Here is a 23,582-nt window from a genome sequence, read left to right as displayed (position 1 = left end):
TAGTAGGGAAATGAGCATGGTATTTCTACCCTGGCATTTGTATTTATCTAGCTTGACCTGAACTCCATGTAGTTTTTAAATAAAAATTAAGTGTTACTGGTATTCTTTTATACGACTTGGCTTTCTTTTTGAAGGAAGTAGTTTAACTCTCTTTCTAAAAAAATTTTTAACTGAAATATGCTTTACATACCTTTGTATGTAAAGTGCACGAATCCTCCATGTACAGCTGACTTAATATCAATACATGTGTATACCTATTTAACTTCTATGCCAGATCACTTTGAGATTTGTGAACCTTCTGACTAGTCACTGTAGCTTTATCTAGCTTATATTTTATACCCCGTTACTGCCTCTAAGATATTTTAATGAGGTTTTCTGGGTTTTTTTTTTTTTTTTTTTAAGGAAAAGATTGAGTTTTTTCTTTTGATCTCATCTAGGTAGAGGAATACACATTATGATTAGTTGAGGCATATATATGTTCTTTTATGTATTTTTACAGATATTAGCTATTACCTGTACAAAGCCTATTTGTGTTACAAATAATTGCCTTTTTTAAACCTTTTTTTTTTTTTGAGACCAAGTCTTGCTCTGTTGCCCCAGCTGGAGTGCAGTGGTGCAGTCTTGGCTCACTGCAACCTCTGCCTCCTGGGTTCAAGCAATTCTCCTGCCTCAGCCTCCCAAGTAGCTGGTATTACAGGCATCCACCACCACGTCTGGCTAATTTTTGAATTTTTATTAGAGAAGGGATTTCAACCATGTTGGCCAGGCTGGTCTTGAACTCCTAACCTCAAGCGATCTGCCCATCTCGACCTCCCAAAGTGTTGGGATTACAGACGTGAGCCACAGCGGCCAGCCCCCTTTTTTAATCTTTCAAACAGGCCTGCCATAAGATGTTATTGTCCCTATTTTATAGATACAGAAATTAAAATTTAGAACAGACTTAACCTTTTAAAATTCATATAATAGACTCTTCTGGAGCCAATGTCCTTACTCTTTAACTTCCTCGATAATGAACAAGTATGTATTGTTTTGTCCCTAATGAATCATTTTCTTTGCTTTGCCTCTGTACATGGAACAAGAACTCAGATTTACTTCTTTGGTACATGAAGGATTAGTTCCATGCTGTCAGTCTAGGAGAAGCAAATATTCTTGGAGCCTTTTTATTCCAGTTCATGGGGCCAAATCTGAGATAGCACCCTCAGGTTGTTGTCCTTGAAAGACCTCTGTATTAGCTGCAGATCCAAAAAAGGAACGACTTTAATGGTCCATCTTTTTAAAGAGTATGGTAGATTATCTGACATAATTTTTCATGACTAAGTCTAAGGCCTTAGTTCTAAGATGACCTCAAAATATAGCTGCTTACAAGAATTCTTTTCTTAACTCGTTCACATGCATTACAATGGCCCTTAAGTTGCTAATATAGCTAAAGTCAGTGATTCTCCCTCTTGTTGAAACCTTCACAACTAAATTCTCATTCTTCCTATGGGACTTGAGATAGGTAAGAAATCCATTAATTTTTTAACATATGAAAATGGTGCCAGAACTCTAGAGGATAAGAATTTAGGGAGGGTTGAATTGATTCATTAATACCTAATTCTGACTATTGTAAATGTGCTTTCTTATTTATTTTTTATATCATGTGTAATATTTTTATTTATATTTATTCACTTTATTTTCATCAGGTACAAAGAATTTTACGTGAAAGATTTTGTCGTCAGAGTCCACATAGTAACCTATTTGGAGTGCAAGTACAATACAAGTAAGTCTAGCTGTCCTCTTGACTGTTATGGACCTACTTACAGATGCCTTCCAGGTTTTGCAAAAATTATTGTACAAATTTGATATTAAATAAAGCTAACAAACACTTTTATAGAAATAAAAAATTTTGCTTTGTGAATAGAAACACCACATAGCATGAAGCAGGAGCAGATACAAATATTTCCATAATGCAATAGCACTTTAACTTTCAATTTTGTTTTGTTTCTGTTATCTGATACTGTGGAGAGAATTCTAGCCATCTTGCCCTTAATACCCAGCAGCCAGCTATGGAGTAAAAGTCCAGAGTATTAGTAGGAAAAGAGATTTGAATCCAAGGGTCCCGAGAGTTGCCACTATTGTCCCTTGTCCCCTACTATCGTATAAATCAATATATTCCAATCTGACTACGTTTTCACCTGAAGATTTCAGAGAATCAATACTGCCCTACTATTTCTTTTGTATTTTTCTATTTAGGACCATTCAGAAGCTAGGCCAAGTACCCAGAGGGAGAGAAGAGAGGAAATTTCTGTGCATATTCAAATATGCCTTTTAAAAACTACAACATAACAAAGTATTCCAGCTTCATTTTTAAAATTTTGTCCTATTTATATCATTTTAGACACTTAAGTGAGCTGCTGAAAAGAACTGCTCTCCATGGAGAGAGTAACTCTGTCCTTATTATCGGACCCCGAGGATCAGGAAAAACTATGGTAAAAGCTGTTGATTTCTGGTGTTTGTTGGCATGTGATGATTCTTATTTTATATAAGAATAAATAAATTCATATATAAATCTTATTTTATGTAATACTGAAAATACTTTTCATTATTTTGTAATGTTTTACTTTTTTGTTTTTTTCTTTTTTAATCACAGAAGACATGTAAAACTTTATAAACTTAGGGTGGTATATTTGAGTGTAGCAGACCTTTTTCCCCCTTATTTGTCCTCCTAGTGAAAAATTGTCAATTGATGTTTGTTCCAACATGGTCTTTTGTCCTTAAAGAAGTAGAGATTTCCAGTGGAAAAAGAAAATAGCATGTATTGAGCATGTACTATGTGTCTTTTTATTGTGTTCTCTCATTTATTCTTTACATCAACACTGCACGGTAGGGTTTTTCCCTTTGTTATAGGTTAGGGAACTATCATATCATGCATTCTTTTTATTTTTCCTACATCATTACTATTTGTTTAACCCTAACTTACACAGTTTTTCAGTGCATGCTCACATCTTATATCATTCTTGTCTCCTTTTGCTCTTTATCATATTTGCTTAGTTACCTCAAAAAGATATTCTTACTTATTTCCCTTTACTCTTTTCTTTGATATCCTTTATGCAATATAGGAGACAAATTATGGGTGTTAACTTTTGAAAGCAATTAATTTCAATGCTAAGTAGTCTGTGTAAAATCTGTTCTCATGTATTATATACAATAAATTTCAATTTTTGACCAATGTACTTTAAAAAAATGGATGAGAAGCAAAATTTTTTTTAACATTTAAGCAATGTATATTGAAATTACATTATTAAGATGAGTACGTTAGGATTTTACTGTTATCACATCTGAAGTATTGTTTAATATAAATTGAGAATTTAGATCTAGGTAATTTCTTTCAATATTTCACAAATTGTCACATTTATATATAATCATATTTGCAGTAATTTTTTAGTTTCAAATCTATGTTTAATTTGTTTTAGTCCTCATACTCAGCTTCTATAATCACTATTTCTTCATTCTTGAGTTTTTTATTATGGTTTTTCTTTGCATTTGAATTCACTGTTATTTTGGGTAGTTTTCACAAGAGGGCTATGTGAAATGTTTTTAAATTTCAAATTTTTAAATTTTTAAATTTAAGAAACTTTTTATTTTAACCATTCTAATAGGTATATATTGGTGTCTCATTGTTTGTACTTGTAATTCTCTAATGACATATGCTGTTGAGCATCTTTTCATACACTTCTTTTTCATCTATATATGTTTGGTGAGGTGTCTTATGCCCATTTTTAATTTGGGTTATTTGTTTTCTTATTGATAGGTTTTAGGAGTCCTTTATATTTCTGATTTTCAGTTTTGTTTTGCAAGTATTTTCTTACAGTCTGTGGCTTTTCTTTTCATACTATTAATATTATTTCATAATATTAAAAGAATATTATTCTTTTCATACTATTAATAATAACATTGTCTTTGGCAGAGCAGAAGATTTCATTTATTTATTTATTTATTTTTGAGATGGGATGTTGCTATGTCTTTTCATACTATTAACTGTATCTTTGGTAGAGTAGTTTTTATTTATTTATTTTACTTACTTACTTACAAGAATAGGGTCTTGCTCTTTCACCCAGGCCGGAGTGCAGTGGCATGATCACAGCTCACTGTAGCCTTGGCCTCTTGTGCTCAAGCAGTCCTCCCACCTCAGCCTCCTGAGTACATGGGACTGCAAGCATGCACCATCACACCTGGCTAATTTTTTTTTTTTAATTTTGTGTAGAGACGAGGTCTCCCCATGTTTCCCAGGCTGGTCCTGAACCCTGAGCTCAAGCAATCCTGCCTTAGCTTTCCAAAGTGCTGGGATTACAGACATGAGCCACTGTGCCCAACTGAAGTCTTTGATCTTAATAATCTAATTTGTCAGTTTTTTCTATCATGTATTATGATTTTGGTATTGTATCTGAAGCTTCATCACCAAACCGAAAGTCATGTAGATTTTTTCCTATGTATCTTCTACAAGCTTTATAGTTTTGCATTTTATATATAGGTCTGTGATTCATTTTGAGTTAATTTTTGTGAAAGATGTAAGGTCTGTGTTTAGATTCGTTTTTTTTTCTTTTTTTTTTTTGCAAATGAATGCCCAATTGGAGAAAGACTATCTTTTATCCATTGAATTGCCTTTGCTTCTTTGTCAAAGATCAGTTGACTATGTTTATGTGGTTCTGTTTTTAGGTTCTCTTTCTATTCCCTTGCTTTGTCTGTCTTTTGCCAATATCACATTGTTTTGATTACTGTAGATTTTTAGTGAGTCTTTAAGGTAAGTACTGTCAGTCTTCTGACCTCGTTCTTCTGCAGTATTGTGTTGGCTGTCTGCATACTTTGCCTTTTCATATTAACTTTAGAATCACTTTGTACATATCCAGAAAATTCTGGGAATCTTTGTGAATTGCTAGATTTTGAGTTAAATTTATACATCACAATAGGAAGAATGGACATCTTAACTATATTTAGTCTTCCCGTTCTTGGAGTATCTATTTATTTAAGACTTTTGTCAGTTTTTGTAGTTTTCTTAATAAAGATCTTACACATGTTTCGTTAGATTTATACCTAATTTTTCATTTTTTTGGTTCTAGTGCGAATAGTACTGTGTTTTTTATTTCCTTTTCTAAGTCTTCATTGCTAGTAGATAGCTAAACACTTGGCTTTTCTATATTTGCTTGTATTCTGCAACCTTGCTATAATTGCTTCTCAATTCCATTAGTTTTTTTGTCAGTTCTTTGAGATTTTTTTACTTAGACAGTTATGTTATCTGTCAACAAAGACAGTTTTAATTATTCCTTCCCTATCTCCATACTTCTATTCCTTTTCTTCTTTTATTGCATTAGTTATTCATAGACTATGTCTAACAGTTAATCATAAAATTCACTAATACTCTGCATACTGATTTAGTATAAATTTAGAGGGTATTGTTCACTAAAGAATAATATTCTTTTATTTTTGAATATTCTTTCATTTTTTCTTATGATTAGAAAAAATGAATATCCAATATTAGAATATTCAGTTCTTAAATCTTTGTTTTCATTTTTCCATGTCTACCATCTTTTTCATGTTTTTTCCCCCTCTCTCAGCATTCTGTCATATGGCCAATGTGATTTTCTTTACTGCCAGTGCTGTCATTTGCTTCTTCTAATCTGATATTGCATTTCAGTTTTCTAAGAATCTTTTCTTCTTGTCTAAGTCTGGCTTAAATAGCTCAAAACATTTATTTCATAAAATAGTCATTTTAGGTAGTAATTAACCTTTTTATACTTTATTTTTAAATTGACTCATAATAATTATACACTTTCATGGGATATATAGTGATGTTTTGATGCATATAGTGTATAGTGATCAAATCAGAATAATTAGCATATCAATCATCTCAAACATTTATCATTTATTTATGTGGGGAACATCCAGTATCCTTCTTCTAGCTATTGGAAAATATTATTGTTAATTATAGTCATCCTATAGTTACAGAAAAATGATAGTACAACACTGTTACTTACTCCTCCTATCTTGCTGTAATTTTGTGTTCATTATTGAATCTCTCACTATCCCTCCTTTCCTCCTACCCTTCCTACCCTATCCTCTCTTCTACTTTTGACTTCTGTAAGACCTACTTTTCTTGGCTTCCATAGATGAGTGAAAACGCATGGTGTTTAACTTTCTTTTCCTGGCTTATTTCATTTAATATAACTTCTTCCAGTTCCATCTATGTTGCTGTGAATGACAGAATTTCATTTCTTTTTTTAATGGCTGAACAGTATTCCATTGTGTGTATATACACATATTCTTTATCCATTCATCTGTTGTTGGACAACTAGGTTGATCCATATCATGGCTATTGTGAATAGTACAACAATAAATACGGGCTGCAGATGTCTCTCTGATGTAATGATTTCCGTTCCTTTATATAAATTCTCAGTAGTGTGATTGCTGGACCATATGGTAGTTCTATTTGTAGTGGTTTTTGGGGAACCTTTGTACTGTTTTCAATATTGGCTAGTTTACATTCCCACCAATGGTGTATAAAAGTTCCTTTTTTTTGCATCTTCACCAGCATTTATTATTTTTTGTTTTTCTGAAAATAGACATCCTAACTGGAGTGAGATGATACCTCACTGTGGTTTCTATTTGCATTTCCCTGATGATTGATGATGTTAAGCATTTCTTCATGTATTCGTTGGCTATATGTATGTCCTTTCAGAAATGTCTGTTCAGATAATTTGCCTGTTTTTTAAGCAAATTGGTTTTTTGCTTTTGAGATACTGGAGTTCCTTGTGTAATCTGGATATGAATCCCTATGAGATGAATACTTTGCAGATATTTTCATTTATTCTGTAGATTGTCTTTTCATGCTGTTGATTGTTTCCCTTGCTATGCAGAAGCTTTTGAGTTTGATGTTAGCAGATTTGTCTATTTTTTTATGTTGTCTGTGATTTGCAGTTTTTATTCATAAGATATTTTCCTAGACTAGTGTCCTGAAGTATTACCCCTATGTTTTCTTCTAGTAGTTTTATAGTTTCAGGTCTTAACATTGAGGTCTTTGATCTATTATGAAATGATTTTTGTACAGGATGAGAGATGGGAATCTAGTTTAATTCTTCTGCATATCCAGTTTTCTCAGCACCATTTATTGAAGAAATTGCCCTTTCCCTGATGAGTGAGTGTTCTTGGCCTTTGTAAAAATCAGTTGGCTGTTGATAAGCAGATTAATTTCTGGGTTCTCTATTCTGTTCTATTGGTCTACATGTCTGTTTTTATGCCAGTACCATGCTGTTTTGGTTACTACAGCTTTGTAGTATATTTGAAGTAAGGCAGTATGTTGACTCCAGCCTTATTCCTTGTGCTCAAGATTGCTTTAGCGATTTGGCATCTTTTGTTGTTTCATATGAATTTTAGGATTTTTTTTCTATCTCTGTGAAGAATATCATTAGTGTTATGATAGGAATATCATTGAAACTGTAGATTGCTTCTGGTAATATAGTAATTTTAACAATATTCATTCTTTCTATCATGTGAGTATGGGTGTCTTTTCATTTGTGTGTATCCTCCTCAATTTCTTTCTTCAGTGCTTTGTAGTTTTCCTTGTACAAAACTGTACCTTTCACCTCCTTAATTGAATTTATTCCTCAGTAATTACGTTTTTTTGGTAGCTCTTATAAATGGGATTGCCTTCTTGATTTTTTTTTTTCGGGTAGTTTGTTGTTAGTATATACAAACAGTACTGGTTATTGTATATTGATTTTGTAGCCTTCAACTTTACTGAAATTCTAAGAGTTTTTTGGTAGAGTCTCTAGGTTTTTCTATATATAAGATTATGTCATCTGCAAAAAGGAATGAATTGACTTCTTCCTTTCCCATTGCTTTGGCTTGAACATCTAGTACTATATTGAATAAGAATGGGGAGAGTGAACATCCTTGTATTGTTCCAGTTCTTACAGGAGAAACTTTTAGTTTTTCCCCATTTGGTGTGATGTTGGTTTTGGGTTTGTCATATATGGCCTTTACTGTGTTGTGGTGTTTTTTTTCTATACCTTTTTGACAGTTTCTATCATGAAGGGATGTTGAATTTTATCACGTGTTTTTTTCTGCATCCATTGAGATGATATAGTTTCTGGCCTCCATTCTATTGATGTGGTGTATGATGTTTATTGATTTGCGTATATTAAACCATCCTTGCATCCCTGGGATAAATCCCACTTGATCATGGTGAATGATCTTTTTGCATTCAGCTTACTAATACTTTATTGAAGACTTTTGCATCTATATTCATCAGAGATGTTGACCTGTAGTTTTTGTTGCTGTTTTGTCCTTGTCTAGTTTTGATGTCAGGGTTATGCTGGCCTCATAGAACGAATTAGGAAGAATTTTCTCTGCTTGAATTTTTTGGAATAGTTTTAGAAGAATTGGCATTAATTCCTTAAGGGTTTAGTAGAATTCAGCAGCAAAGCCATCCAGTACTGGATTTTCCTTTGTTGGAAGACTTTTTATTCCTGATTCTACCTCATTATTTGTTATTGGTCTCTCCAGGTTTTCTGTGTCTTCTTGCTTCAATATTGAAAGGTTGTATGTGTCCAGGAACTTAACCATTTCCTTTAGGTTTTGTAATTTATTGATGTATAGTTCTTCATAGTAGTCCCTAATGATCCTTTTTATTTCTGTGATATTCAGTTTGATGTCTCCTTTTTCTTTTCTCATTTATTTATTTTGGTCTTTCTTAGTCTAGCTAAGCAACTTTTGTTTCAGTGATTTTTTGTAGTATTGTTTTAGTCTCAATTTTGTTTATTCCTTCTCTGATATTTATTTCCTTTGACTAATTTGGGGTTTGGTTTGTTCTTTTCTAGCTCTTTGGAATACATTGTTAGATTTTTTAATTTAAAATTTTTCTAATTTTTTGGATTGCATTGTTAGATTCTTTATTTGAAATTTTTCTAGTTTTTTGATGTAGGCATATATTGATATAAACTTGCCTCTTAATTCTGCTTTTGCTGTGTGTTCCTTAAGTTTTAGTAAGTTGTGTTTCTATTTTCTTTTGTTTCTAGGAATCTGTAATATTCTTAATTTCTTTTGCCCATTGTTCATGGGCATGTTGTCTAATTTCCATATTTTTGTATAGTTTTTAATGTTCCTGTCATTATTATTACTTTTTAAAAAAAATATAGACCAGGTCTCCCTATTTTGCCCAGGCTGGTCTCAAACTCCTGGGCTCAAGGGATCCTCCCACCTTGGCGTCTCAAAGTGTTGGGGTTACAGGTGTGAGCTACCACACCTAGCCAGTTGTTTTTATTATCGATATCTAGTTTTATTCCATTGTGGCCAGATCAGATACTTGATAGGATTTTGCTTTTTTTAAAAAAATGTTTTAAGACTTCTGTTGTGTCCTAACATGAGGTCAGTCTTGGAGAATCTTCTGTGTGCTGATGAGAAGAATGTACATTCTGCAGTTGTTGGGTGAAATGTTCTATAGATGTATTTTAGGTCCATTTGGTCTATGGTGAAGTTCAAATTCAATGTCTCTTTGTTGATTTTCTGTCTAAATTATCTGTCCAATGCTGAGAATAGGGTGTTGAAGTTCCTATTATTTTATTGCAATTTATCTCTCTTTAGATCTAATAATACTTGCTTTATACATCTGAGTGTTTCAGTGTTGGGTACATTTATATGTACAACTGTTATATTCTGTTGTTGAATTGATCCTTTTATTATTATATAATGTTCTTTGTTTTTACAACTTTCTTATCACTTTTATTTTCCATTTTCATAGGATATCTTTTTCATACCTTTAAGTCTGTGTGTCTATACAGGTGAGGTGAGTTTCTTGTAGCAGCATATAATTGAGTTTTTTTTTTTATCTGTTCTGTATTTTTTAAATGGGAAACTTAATTGGTTTATATTCAAGATTATTATTGATAAGTGAGGACTTACCCTGTCATTTTAGTGATTGTTTTCTGGTTGTTTCATATATCCTTTGTTTCTTACTTCCTCTCATTTATTTTTCCAGTTGGGTGCCTCTCTGTAGTGATAAGGCTTGATCCTTTCTCTTTCTCCTTTATGTATCCGCAGTACCAGTGAGTTTTATAGTTTTCCCTGTTTTCATGATGGTGGTCATCATCTTTGCATTTGTGGATGTTAGACTCCCTTGAACATTTCTTATAGGTCTGGTCTAGTGATGACGGATTGCTTTAGTTTTTGCTTGTCTGTGAAAGATTTTATTTCTCCTTTATTTCTGAAGCTGCTGGGTATTATATTCTTAGCTGACAGTTCTTTCATTCTGAGCTTTGATTGTATCATCCCATTCCCCTCTGTCCTGTCAGGTTTCTCTTAAGAAATCTGCTGTTGTATATTCTGACAATCAGCTAAAATGTAAACAAGAAGGATGAAAGATGTTTTAAAATATCATTTAAAAAAATGATAGTTTAAAATTTTTAATTAAAAAAAAGAAATCTGCTATAAAGAAGAAGAAATCTACTGTTAGTATAATAGGGATTCCCTTATAGTGACTTGACACTTTACTTTTGCTGCTTTAATTATTTGTCTGTGACTTTTAACAATTTGACTATAATATGCCTCAGAGAAGACCTTCTGTTTGTGTTGAGTCTGTTTGGAGTTTTGAGCTTCCTTTGGATGTCCATTCCTCTCTCAAGAACTGGGAAGTTTTCAACTATGGTTTTATTAAATATGTTTTTCTCACCTTTTCCTTCTTTTCTCCTCCTGAAAGTACAATAATACAAATATTTGTTCACTTATTGAAGTCTTATAAATCCTGTAGACTTTCTTCATTCTATTTTTTTTCTTGTCTGCCTGTGTTATTTCAAACAATTTGTCTTCAATTTAAGAAATGCTTATGCTTGATGTAGTCTGTTATTGAAGGTCTCAGTTGTATTTTCTATTTCATTCATTAACTTCTTCAGCTGTAGGATTTCTGTTTGTTTTTTTATGGTATCTCTGTTAATTTCTTATTCGAATCACAAGTTGTTTTTCTGATTTTGTTCAATTTTCTATCTGTATTCTTTTGAATTTCACTGAGTGTTGTCAAGATTATTATTTTAAATTCTTCTGGCATTTTCTGTATTTCTTTATGATTCTTGTCTGTTACTAGAGGAATTATTGTTTTCCTTTGGAAGTGTCATGTTTTCTTGCTTTTTTATGTTTAATGTGTCCCTATGTTGATTGATACGCCTCAGGTAGAAAAGTAAAATTGTCTTTTCCAATCTTACAGAATTGATCTCGTAAGGAAGTACTGATTTGTGTCAATGTGTCTCGAGGTGTCAGTTTGATGTGGTTCATTGGCCTTGGTTCTAGTTGGATACAGTAGTGTGGTCTTTGTGTAGTTTTTTCAGCTGTAATCCACACTAGTGTCATTTACAAGTGTCTCAGTGGCCTAGGCTGAGAGTTGTTTGTGGTGGCAGTTGTACAGCTTTGCAAGGGGTGGGTTTGCTGGGCTGGTTCTCAGTTTGGGGGCATATGCATGCATATGGTGGGTCAATCACCTTGGGATCTGACACACTGGCAGATGGGGCTATTAATGTGGCCAGGAGCATAGTCATGTGGTTGCTTAGCCAGTCTTGGTGAATGTTTGCCAGGAACAACTCACTGGTTTGTTTCTCAGGCCCAGGAGATGCCTGGGATCCAGGTGCAAGGCTGCTTGATCCCAACAGAGGTGTAGGGATACAGTTCCTCGACTGGCTTAGGGCCGTATCTGCTGAGGGGTTCCACAGGATTGTTTCTCAGGTTTAGGATGCAGGCACAAGGCTATTCAGCTGGCTTATGGGCATGCCCACTAGAGGCGTCCTGTGAGGCTGTTTCTCAGGCCTGTGACACTGCTGCTTGGCTGGCCTGGGAACTTTTCTGCAGCAGATGGCCCACTGGACCATTTTGTAGACCTGGGAAGTAGGAGCAGGGTTGCTCGACTGGCCCAAAAGAGTGTCTGCCAGAGGCAACCCTCAGGGCTGATTTGTAGGCCTAAGGTGTAATGCTGCTCAGCCAGCTAGGGTAATGTGTCTGTTAGGGGCAGTTGGCAAGTGTACTTCTCAGGTTAGCGACGTGGGCACATGATTGCTTGGCTGGTCCTGGGGCATGTCTGATGGAGTTATAGGGAGGCTGTGCTGTTTGTCAGGTTTGGGAGGTGAGCACAAGACTGCTTGGCAGGCTCAAGAATGGCCTGAAGGGCTACTTCTCAGGCCTAGTATGTGTTCACAGGGATGCTTGGCCACCCTGTGGGAGGTGTATTCACCATGGGTGGCCCATAGGGCTGTTTCTCAGGTACAGGTCATGGCTCATGGCTGCTCGGCTGGGCTGGGGGCATGCCTGCCAGGGGTAACCTTCTGGGCTATTTTTCAGGCTCTGATTGTGGGCACAGGACCACTGGGCAAGCTAGGGGTATGTCTGCGGGAGGGAGGGGTGCACGGTATTGTGGGGCTGTTTCTCAGGTTCTGAGTGTGGGTGCATAGCCGCTCTGCCAGTGCAAGGGGTGTATCAGCTGCTTGGATGCTCGGGGGCCTCTCCTTCTTGGGAGAGAGCCCCACCCTGGTTTGGTCACCTCAAGTGAGAGTTTGCCCTGGGTGGGACTGCCAGATTGGTTCTCTGGCTGGAAGTGTGGCAGCAAGGGGTTGGTTTCCTTGCTGTGTAGGACCAGAGTCATAACCAATTATAGGCTCAGTCTCTGTGCAGCTAGAGTTGTGTGTTCAGCCACCTATGTGGGCTTGGTGGAATGAAGATGGACCCCTAGTACTGGAAAGGTGCAGTGACTACTGGCCCACAGAGCGGGGCGCACAACAGAGGTGGCTCTGGCCTCAATGGTGCCATGCTGCAGCAGGGCAGGTTGGCCTACAGGTGGGTGAGGGTTGGAGAGTGCATACCTTATTCTCATGATCTGGAGCAATGCAACTGCTTGAATTCCCAGCAGCTGTCCACCTTGACTTAGGGCTTGCTAGGACTATGGGATTCTCCTGTGGTAAGGACTGTAGGTGTTTGTGATGGCGGTGAGGACTGGTGGGGATCTTCTGCTTACCTTTTCCCCAGAACGGGAAGTCCCTCCTGACTACGGGAAGATTTGATCGGGGTGCAGGAGATGTAGCTGCAGAGGCCAGGTGCCTACACACTACCCTCCTGGATTTTCAGTCACTACACATTTCCCCTTCCCTGCTGCACTCCAGTACTCTCCCTTCAACACGCCAGTCAAATCTTAGCTGTTCATTCATTGCTGTGGTCCTTTCTTGTTGGGAGTACGAGCACCAGGAGTCTCTAATCAGCCATCTTGCTTAATATTTTAAATCTGAACTTAATCTTTTTAATCTGCTTGTTGTTCCCTTCCACGTTATAGCACCTTTTCATAAACCCCTATAGGTTTAATCAATGTACTGAAATTTAAAGGCAAAAGCATTAAATCATAGTATTTATCAGTTAATAAAATGGATCAGTTATTCTTGGCCACACTGACAGTTTATCTACTTTTTGCTTTTTAAACCAGAGCCCTATTGTGGTGCCTTGCAGTCATTTATTTTCACTATAGTGGAATCTGGAAGAGTCCCTTGCATGGCATTCCATTTTGATATAGTTTCATATATTCCTGATGTACTCTGATGCTGGCAGGTTGAAGAGATGAGCATTGTTTGACTTGTGCTACTTTTGTAATTTGTTGTATGTGTGGGAGTATCCTGAGAGAAAATATAGATTGAATAAATTGTCAGATATAATTTATTTTTAGACAATAACTCTCGATAGTATAATTTTTTTCTTTTTCTTTTCTTTTTTTTTTTTTCTTTGACAGAGTCTCACTCTGTTGCCCAGGCTGGAGTGCAGTGGCACGATCTAGACTCACTGCAACCTCTGCCTCGCGGGCTCAAGCAATCCTCCCACATTTGCCTCCCGAGTAGCTGGGACAGGCATGTGCCACCACACCCAGCTAAGTTTTTTATGTTTAGTAGAGATGGGGTTTCACCATGTTTACCAGGTTTGTCTGGAACTGCTGTGCTCAAGTGATCCACCCACCTTGGCCTTCCAAAGTGCTGGGATTACAGGCATGAGCCACTGTGCCTAGCCTCATTAGTATAATTATATAAATTCAAATTTTAAAACATAAGACTGTAGTCTTATGTTTGTTTGTTTTAACCCCTAATCCTAACCCTAAGATTATAGTATATTTAAAACACTATACTTGGCCAAACTGTCTGAAATACAAAAATGCTAACTCTATAGTTAATTGAAAAAGGCAATAGTGTGGCTTATAATATTACAAGCATTTTATTTAAAAAAAAAATTGATATGGCTTCAAGTGACAGATTGACCCCTAGAAAATACCTTTTTTTGTTTTAAGAGACAGGCTCTCTGTCACCCATGCTGGCGCCCAGCGGCTCAATCATAGCTCACTAAAGCCTCAACCTCCTGGGCTCAGGCAGTCCTCCTGCCTCTGCCTCTCAAAGCACTCAGATTACAGGTGTGACCCACTGTACCGACCCTTAGAAAATGCTCTTACACATGCAATTTACTGTAGACAAATTTGCTAGATGGTTAAATAGGATATTTCTCCTAGTTGCATATTGGTGAAACCTGTGTTTATTATAATATTTGGGAATAGTATAAGTTGGTGAGCATAAAAATTACTGGATGTTGGGAGGTCTAAGAAAATTATCTTAGTATGTTTGTAAAATTAAATTTTAGGCACAAAGAATGTGGAAAGGAGATGACCAAATTTGGTTATGTTGGTCAGTGTGATATTAATAACCAACTAAATATTTTTAGTGTATAATGTAGTTTAAATATTTGAAATGATAACATATTCAAGAAAAAAGCTAACTTAAATGGTTGATTGCATAAACAATAAATTTTAGCAATACCCAGATTAGAACTAACATTATTTGAAGACTCACTTGCTAATATATTTATCATTTCAGACCATACACACAACCCATAAAATATTAGTGGGCTGATCCAAGCAAAGCATAAGTTGGTGTTTAAAGTAAGTTGAGTGGAAAGAAAGCTATAAATCTGTTACAACTCTCCTTATGCATATATAAAATGGAAGGTATTATTAAAATCCCCATTCCTTTTAGCAAAGGATTTGAAATGGTTTTGAATAATTCATCAAAACATAAAACATTGTATGAATTAAAACAAAATCATAACCTAGGAAAAAATATATTAAGCAAAATATCAAGAGATGGAAGAAAGAAAATACCATGGATTGCAAAAAAAATAAAAAATAAAAAATTTTTGCTGAAAGCACTGTTTTGAGAGACCAACTCTGTATCATCTAGGGATGTACTCTTATTATAGTGTCTGACCTGATCCAGAGGTGAAGAAGTACCTCTATGCAGTCCTTTAATGTTACTTCTCATTAAATGTCACTTCTCATTAAATGTCACTTCTCAGTTGGGCTATTACTGGTAGTATGACAGGTGATATCTTGAGATTGTCTCCTTTTCAGAGGACCTGGAATTCCCTATGCTTTAAAAACCATGCAGGTATAACAGGAAATTTTTTTTATTTTTGTTGTCTTGTTATGAAACATATGTAATTTAAAATGAGGATCATATTTGCTTTTTTCTTTTTAGATAAGGTGTTGCAATGACAAATAAGTAGCATATTGCAAATACAAACAGTATTTTGTTTTGGAAAATAGTTTACCAGTTGTCCCAGTGCCTTCGTTGAGTAATACTTTTTGTCCTAAGTTTTGATGCCATCTCTATTAATATTTTGTGTATACAACTGCTTTTCCCAGTTCACTTATTTATGATAGTACCTATATTTTAATATTGGAAGGAACAGTCCATCTTTACTCTTTAAATAGGTTTTTGGCTTTTCTTAATTACATTCATTTTCAAATTCTTTAAAAAAAAGAATGCATTGGTAATATGAAGAGATATGTATGATATCACAGTACAAGAGCAATACAATGTTATTTAAAAAAGTATGCTTCATAGAAACCTTTAATTCAATGGGCTTTTAACTGATTACAATGATATTTAGTAGAGTAATTGTCAGAGAGATGTGTAATGTACTAACTGAGACATGAAGTTTATAAGGGCCATGTCACATGTTTAATGTGACATGTAGAGAAATATTTATTTTAAAACTTGGTTGTTTCTAAATTTGTATTAAAAGTTCGGGTAGGTGATTGAGAGAATATTGTATCAGTCCTGGCTCTTGTTTCTTAAAAAGAGTCAGATATGAGATGTTCTAGTTAAACCTTTTATCTGTAAAGAATTTGAAAACTTACTTGTTAAAGAGGTCAATTTATTTATATTCTGTTCTTACTGCTTGTAGTTTAAAAACGAATATGGACTTATTTTTATCTTTTACCTATTATTATTTCATAAACTTTTCATATTTAGTTAATAAATCATGCTTTGAAAGAACTCATGGAAATAGAAGAAGTGAGTGAAAATGTATTACAAGTTCACTTAAATGGTAAGTATGCCATTATTTTGCCATTGGAGATTATGTAAACTTTGTGGGGTTTTTATATGACTTGTATATTTCAAATCCATTTTAATAGTTAGATTTTGAAAACTAGATCCATGTTTTACTTAGCACACCATATGCAGTATTTTTAGAAATTAAAATAATAATAATGAAGGAGTCGCAGAAGGACTCTGGTTTTTGTGGGTTTTTTGGTTTTTTTTTTTTTAATCATTCTAATCCCAAGGAGGATTGTTTTTTGATTCTACCGAATGTCTTTATTGCTAAGTTTTAAGAAGAAAGTGATATGAACTCACAGGCTTTGACTGGGAAGATTTACTTAACTGGAAAACAACCTGCTGTATCAAATACATGTTTAATTTTAATTAAATACTTTTAAATGGACTTTATTTTAGGACTGCTGCAGATCAATGACAAAATCGCCCTAAAGGAAATCACAAGGCAGTTAAATCTGGAAAATGTAGTTGGAGATAAAGTTTTTGTAAGTATCATTTCAGTTATTTTATTAAATAGACTTTTAAGGTAATGTCTTTATACCATGTATATTTTTATATTTCTGGAAGGGTAGGGAGAGGTTCAGAAATTCTTAATTGAAATATATGAGATTCTTTCATAAAAATGTGTAATGTATAGGATACATTTAGTCATTAAGTCTACAATACTTGGATTTTTCCATAGTAGGTTATAGTAGCTGTAAAATAGCTAAGAAACCCAAGTTTATGTAGATATTCTGAGTTTATTTCATTTTCTGTAAGGTGAATACTTTGATTCTGTATCTCTGGAGATAGATTAACACATTTTTAAAAATACCATGCTCCAGCAGCCTATTTCTACTTTTTTGAGACTTGAGTAGCCTGTGTATAGTAGAAAATGTGCTAAATTTGAGGCTGCAATAGGTGGGTTTCAGTCATGCCTTACAACCCTTTGACTGCCTGATAATCCTGAGCTAACAAGTATCTCTGAATTCAGATTCTTTACATGTTAATTGGGCGTTATTTTATTATCCATACTTCACAGGATTATTTTGAAGAAGAAAGAAAACATTACACATCATTTAACTTAAAAAATAATTTGCTGGATGGTAATGTGCTGTACAAATGTCAGTTATTCTGTTTTCAGAAATTTATTCATACTTCATTATCATATCATCTTATAGTCTCAGGGCAGTGAACAACATCAGTAAAAGAAACTGACTTGAAATGTTTTGAAACTTGTATTAAACTTTTACCTTTCACCTAATATATAGGGCCTAAGGAAAACATGATAATTTAATTTTGCACCTACCTGAATTTTCATGATGAAATTACCTAGCCTCATACTGCTTATGCAGTTGGAGTGGATTATACACATTCCAACTTCATTTTCTGGTTACTGGTGACCATGCGGTGGCATCGCTCTAATTTCTGAACTGTGTGCTTTGTGCTGCAATGACACCGCCATAGTTGTGTAAGACTCCTAGCATTTATGAGTTTCTTTCTTTAATAATCAATCTATAAAATTATTAATTATATAATTATATACTCTATAAAATTATTAATTATATAATTATATAATTATATAATCTATGTAATTCTATAATAGGTTATATCTATATAATTATCTAATAGATTATATATAATTATAGTTTATTATATGTAATTATAGATTATAATCTAAATTATTAATATAATATATTAATCTATAAAAATATTAATATAAAATGTTAATCTAATCTAAAAGGTTGAGTAAATTTGTCCCTTCCAAAGTCTGTAGGTCTTTGAAGTGCAGTTTCAAAATGCCCCATCTATAAATCTAATATTCTACCTCCTGTTTAGAATGTGATGTTGAAGCTAGTGGCCTATACTGAGCCAAAGACAGTTCTTGTTAAGTATGCTCAGTTTGGCTTTTGGTTCCCAGTTGATCTGGGTAGGTGTTTCTGACATTTTTAAATGTTACATATTCATATTGGTTTTATGTGAAATAATAAAAATGACAATTTTTTATCATTCTGTTCTAATCTTCGCTATTATTATCATATATAGAGATTATTAGTTTAAGTTGTACCCAAAAATGTTTTGGCTGTGTTCCGAGTAAGCATAGCCAAACATGATACGATATACATAAATTCTTCAATGTACTCTTGAATAGAGAAATACTGCTATAGAAATTAATAGTTTAATTCCTTCATTATATAAATTTGGCTTCTGCTCAGAGAGCATAATTAGGTTGCCGAAGGTCATAAAATGGCAGAGCCTGGACATTATAAGAACCTAAGTCACTTAATTCAACCCACAGCTTTTCTGGTTTGATATAAACAGACATATATATGTATATTATACATGCACAAATACGTATTTATAGAAGCATATACTTAGTATCAGATGTAATAATCTTTTAAGCAAAAAGCCTGAAAGACAAGCTACCTTTGAGTAACTGACCACTGATTTCCCAACAGATTGTCTCTTTGAGGATTTGTTATATTACGGTAAATTATGGATAACACCTCTTGGTCTGCCTGCCTTGGAAATAGCATAACAACATCACAATATGTGAAAGTTTTAAAACCTTTATGCTATTTTTATGTTAGATCTCTCAACTGGAGAGTGAATAAGTGTGTTTCTTTTCTCCTTTATATCTCCTCAAATTTAAAGTTGGCTGTTTCTTTTAGTTATGAACTCTGAATGAAGTAAAAGTTAATAATTTTAATGAAACAAATATTTTAATGGGGCTTCTACCCACAATCTGGAGCACCTGGATAATGCATCTACTACACTAAGTTTCATCAAGAATATTTAATAGTATCCAAAAATGTTTTGGCTATATTCCAAGTAAACATAGCCAAACATGATATGATATACATAAATTCTTCAGTATACTCTTGAATAGACAAACACTGTTATAGTATCTAATGTTTCAAAAAAGCCTTTTCTTTTTGTTTCTCATTTAAATTCATGGTTATTTCTTTACCAGTACAAATTAGAGACTTGCAAGACCCCATTGTGTTTGAAGACACAAAGTAGAATCCATTTCTAGGTCTCAAACTATATTTAGAATATGGCAATTCTACAAAACTACCTTCAAATAAATTTAACATTCTTTCAGATTTTTTCCGGAAAATATAAAATTTCTTACTTTTCTTTTTCTTCTTTGACCGTTTTATCCTCAAGTTCTAAAATATAAAATTTCAAAGATGACATTGTAATTGCCATTTTCAGTGATGTGCCATCTTTGCTTAAGTATTTAAGTTTTAGATAGGAAGTATAGAGACACTCAGCAGAGTCTGGGCAATGACTCTAATAACTAGAAGATATACAGTGTTTATATAAAATTTGAGAATCAGACAGCCATCTTTTGTTCTTTATTTCACTAAACTTTTAATCATTTTATCTCATTTTGTTGTTCAGGGAAGCTTTGCTGAAAACCTTTCATTTCTTCTGGAAGCTTTAAAAAAAGGTAAATATTAACATATTCAGCCGTTTCAGAAGATCTGTTTTAACTTTATTTTTTCCCTGATTATAAAGGTAATACAAGCTTTTGCCAAAAAAAAAAGCTCTCATAAAATACAGAAACATTAAAAAGAATACAATGTTCACTGTATTCCCACCACTATAACAGTGATTATCTCAATTAGCATTTGGTTTCTTATCTTTATTCAATGATATACTGATCTTTATATCAGTATATTATTGATAGAGATAAATGTGATTTTTTACAACAATAAAATTATTTTACCTATTTTGTAATAAGATTTTGATCTGCATCATCATTTTTATGGTTCTTGTTTTATAAGGTGCTATTTATTAATCACCAATTATGGGCTTTTGTTTCTAATTTTTTATAATTAAGAAGAGATACTTTGATGATCATCCAGATATTTCCTGGGATAAATTTCTGTGGGTAGAATTCTGGGTTAAAAGGCACCATCTTTAACATTTAAAAACTACCCTAAAGGTTTAATTTGTAAAAATATTTGATAATACCTTTTTCTTCACAACCTCAAAAACAATTATTATTTTTATGTTTGCCCATATAATAGAAAAACTTTCAGCTCTTAGTTTAATTTGAATAATTTTGTTCTTTAATTTGCATAATTCTGGTTACTTAATTTGCATAATTCTGATAGTGGTGATGCTTGTCATTTCATATTTTTATTGACCTTTGAAATTTCCTGGTTTATGTACAGTCATGTGCCACATAACAACCTTTAATTCAATGATAGACCACATATGTGACAGTGGTCCTATTAGATTATAAAACCATATTTTTACTGTACCTTTCCTGTGTTTAGATATGTTTAGATACACAAATACTTCGCATTGTGTTACAGTTGTCTACACTATCACATGCTCATAGGTTCATAGCCTAGGAGCAATAGGCTATGCCATATAGCCTAGGTGTCTAGTAGGCTATACCATCTAGGCTTGGGTAAGTACACTGTTAGGATGCTTGTACAACGATGCAGTCACCTAACAATACATTTCTCAGAACGTATCTCTGTCATTAAGGGACACACGACTGTATTTCCTGTTGGGTCTTTGACCTATTGTGGTAATGTTTATGTTATGCTTATTTATCGGAATTTTTGTGTTTTATTTTTCTCTTCCCTTAAGTTTGGTTTGGACTTTTCTGCTGATCTAAAGTTTTATGTTTTCCACATAGTTAAGTTTATCTAGAAAGTTTTTTCTCTCCTTCAGATTATAAAAACATTCATTGATCCATCTTTTTATTTAATATATATATATATTTGTAATTTATAATTTGTTTGGAATTTATTCTGATTTTACCTGTAAAGTAGGGATCTGACTTTGAATAGACTAATTTTCCCCACTGATGTATAATGCAATATTTTATCAAATACTAAAATTCTATATTAGTACATAAGTCTCTTTCTAGACTTTTGAGTAATCCCTTTGGTTTTGTACCAGTATTAAGTCATTTAGGCTACTGTATTTGTTATTTGTTGAAATAAGTCTTTCTTTTATCAGATATTTGTTTCACTTTTTAACACAAATATAAAGGCGTTAAGCCTAAGGTAAAAGGGATTCTTTTACTAAAGTTGTTTCCATTATTGAAGTGAGAAAAATGTAACCAGAGGGTGATGTGGAACTTTCCCCATGAAAAGCATTGTAGTTGAAATGCTAAAAGTTGTGCTTCAAGGGAGTTTAAGTGGCTTTAGTTGAACTTTATAATCTACAAGTTTGTTTATAAAAAGTATTTCTACAAGAAATGTACCTTGTATTTCTACTAAATAAACAACTCTCTTTTAAAGCATTAGTTTTGTTCATTAATTAGTGACTCCCCTTATATTTTAATCTTAAAGTGTTTTGGTTCTGTGTAGGTATAGAAAACTCTGTCAATTTTATAATCATTAAATAAGAATTATATTTACGTAATTATAAAAATAATAGTCTTTAGTCATTTAAATGATTTTTGACATTTTTCAACAACAAACTCTACTAGAGTCTAGGAACTAGACTGCACTTTTTATTTTTTGGAGATGGAGTTTCACTCTTGTTGCCCAGGCTAGAATACAATGGTGTGATCTCAGCTCACTGCAACCTCTGCCTCCGCAGTTCAAGAGATTCTCCTGCCTCAGCCTCCCAAGTAGCTAATTTTTTTTTTTTTTTTTAATAGCAGAGATGGGGTTTTACCATGTTGGCCAGGCTGGTCTCAAACCCCTGACCTTAGGTGATCCACCTACCTCGGCCTCCCAAAGTGCTGGGATTACAAGCGTGAGTCACCATGCCCGGCCTAGACTGAACTTTTTTTTTTTGAGATGGAGTTTCACTCTCGTTGCCCAGGCTGGAGTGCAGTGGCACGATCTTGGCTCACCACAACCTCTGCCTCCTGGGTTCAAGCAATTCTCCTGCCTCAGCCTCCCGAGTAGCTGGGATTACAGGCATGCGCCACCACACCTGACTAATTTTGTATTTTTAGTAGAGATGGGATTTCTCCATGTTTGTCAGGCTGGTCTCGAACTCCCGACCTCAGGTGATCCACCCACCTCAGCCTCCCAAAGTGCTGGGATTACAGGCATGAGCCACCACGCCCAGCCTAGACTGAACTTCTTGAGAGCAGTCGGGGCTGTGTTTGTCCTTTGAATAATTTTTTTCTGTTGAATGAACGTATATGCATCAGTAAATCCCCTACCCAAAGTAGGCTATCAGAATGTTTACAGAATTGAGTTTTAAAAACTGAAATATAGTAAATGGTTTGGAAATTTAGGAAAGGTGGATATAATTTCTTATTAATGTAATGCTCTTATTTTATCTTAGGTGACCGAACTAGCAGTTGCCCAGTGATCTTCATATTAGATGAATTTGATCTTTTTGCTCATCATAAAAACCAAACACTTCTCTATAATCTTTTTGACATTTCTCAGTCTGCACAGACCCCAATAGCAGTTATTGGTCTTACATGTAGATTGGTAAGTCTTTCTGTTCATTAAAAAAATTGATTATAATATTTTAAAATTCAAGCTTAATTGCTGACACTGCTAGTTTTTTTCACTTATTTAGGTCATTTTAAAAATTTTGTTTCAGCAGTGCCTGGTGTATTTATCCTGCTTTCAACTCAAATTGAGGAAAACAGTTTAGTAGTTACCTTAGCCCATTAATGAATACCTCCCTCCTCCCAGTGAAATTACTGAAGAAAAAAGTATGAAATCAGATTATGCTAATAAATATAATTTCTACATTATCAAGTAATGAGGCGGTTAAATCTCACCAATATTTGAGAAAACTTGGTAATAGTTTTTATTTTAAGATTTTTTTCCATATTTTGAAAAGGCTTGAAATCAACTCTAAGTAATACTATTCCAACTTTCAAAGTACACATCTCCAGAAATGGAAAAGATTCTACCAAGCACTGACAGTAGATAGTGGCTTCTTCATTCCATGGGATATTTTAGAATGATTTTAACTATAGTCTCAATATCACTATCACTTTGCCTTGTGAAGGCTCTGTACATATTGAACCATGTGTACCTTTGGACAGCAGTACAGGCCTTTTTGTGTTTACCTTCTTACACGCATGTAGTATTAACTTACTGAATTCAGATAAAACTGGTATTGAAGAGTGCCTTGGCCCATTTTGTGTTGCTATAACATAATACCTGAGACTTGGTAATTTTTAAAGAAAAGAAGTTTATTTATCTCACAGTTCTGCAGGCTGAA

At 34.0% G+C, this 23,582-nt stretch overlaps 1 protein-coding gene across 10 annotated transcripts in view; it reads left to right on the top strand.

The window, feature by feature from the left end:
• Positions 1–23,582, top strand: part of ORC4 (origin recognition complex subunit 4) — a 91,156-nt gene that overhangs the window by 46,345 nt on the left and 21,229 nt on the right. For 8 of the 10 annotated variants that reach the window (NM_181742.4, NM_001190882.3, NM_181741.4 and 5 more), the window contains 6 exons: positions 1,683–1,759; positions 2,378–2,468; positions 16,341–16,416; positions 16,824–16,909; positions 19,812–19,860; positions 22,683–22,834. In NM_181742.4, the coding sequence (NP_859526.1) occupies positions 1,683–1,759; positions 2,378–2,468; positions 16,341–16,416; positions 16,824–16,909; positions 19,812–19,860; positions 22,683–22,834 (531 nt within the window). Of the gene's footprint in view, positions 1–1,682; positions 1,760–2,377; positions 2,469–14,900; positions 14,966–16,340; positions 16,417–16,823; positions 16,910–19,811; positions 19,861–22,682; positions 22,835–23,582 lie in introns of all 10 variants that reach the window. The other 2 variants (NM_001374272.1, NM_001190881.3) reach the window with 2 other exon arrangements.

Source organism: Homo sapiens, chromosome 2, assembly GCF_000001405.40.
Source record: "Homo sapiens chromosome 2, GRCh38.p14 Primary Assembly".
Lineage (NCBI taxonomy): Eukaryota > Metazoa > Chordata > Mammalia > Primates > Hominidae > Homo > Homo sapiens.
The sequence above is the reverse complement of the archived record's forward strand: the minus strand, read 5'-3'. Positions and strand labels throughout refer to the sequence as shown.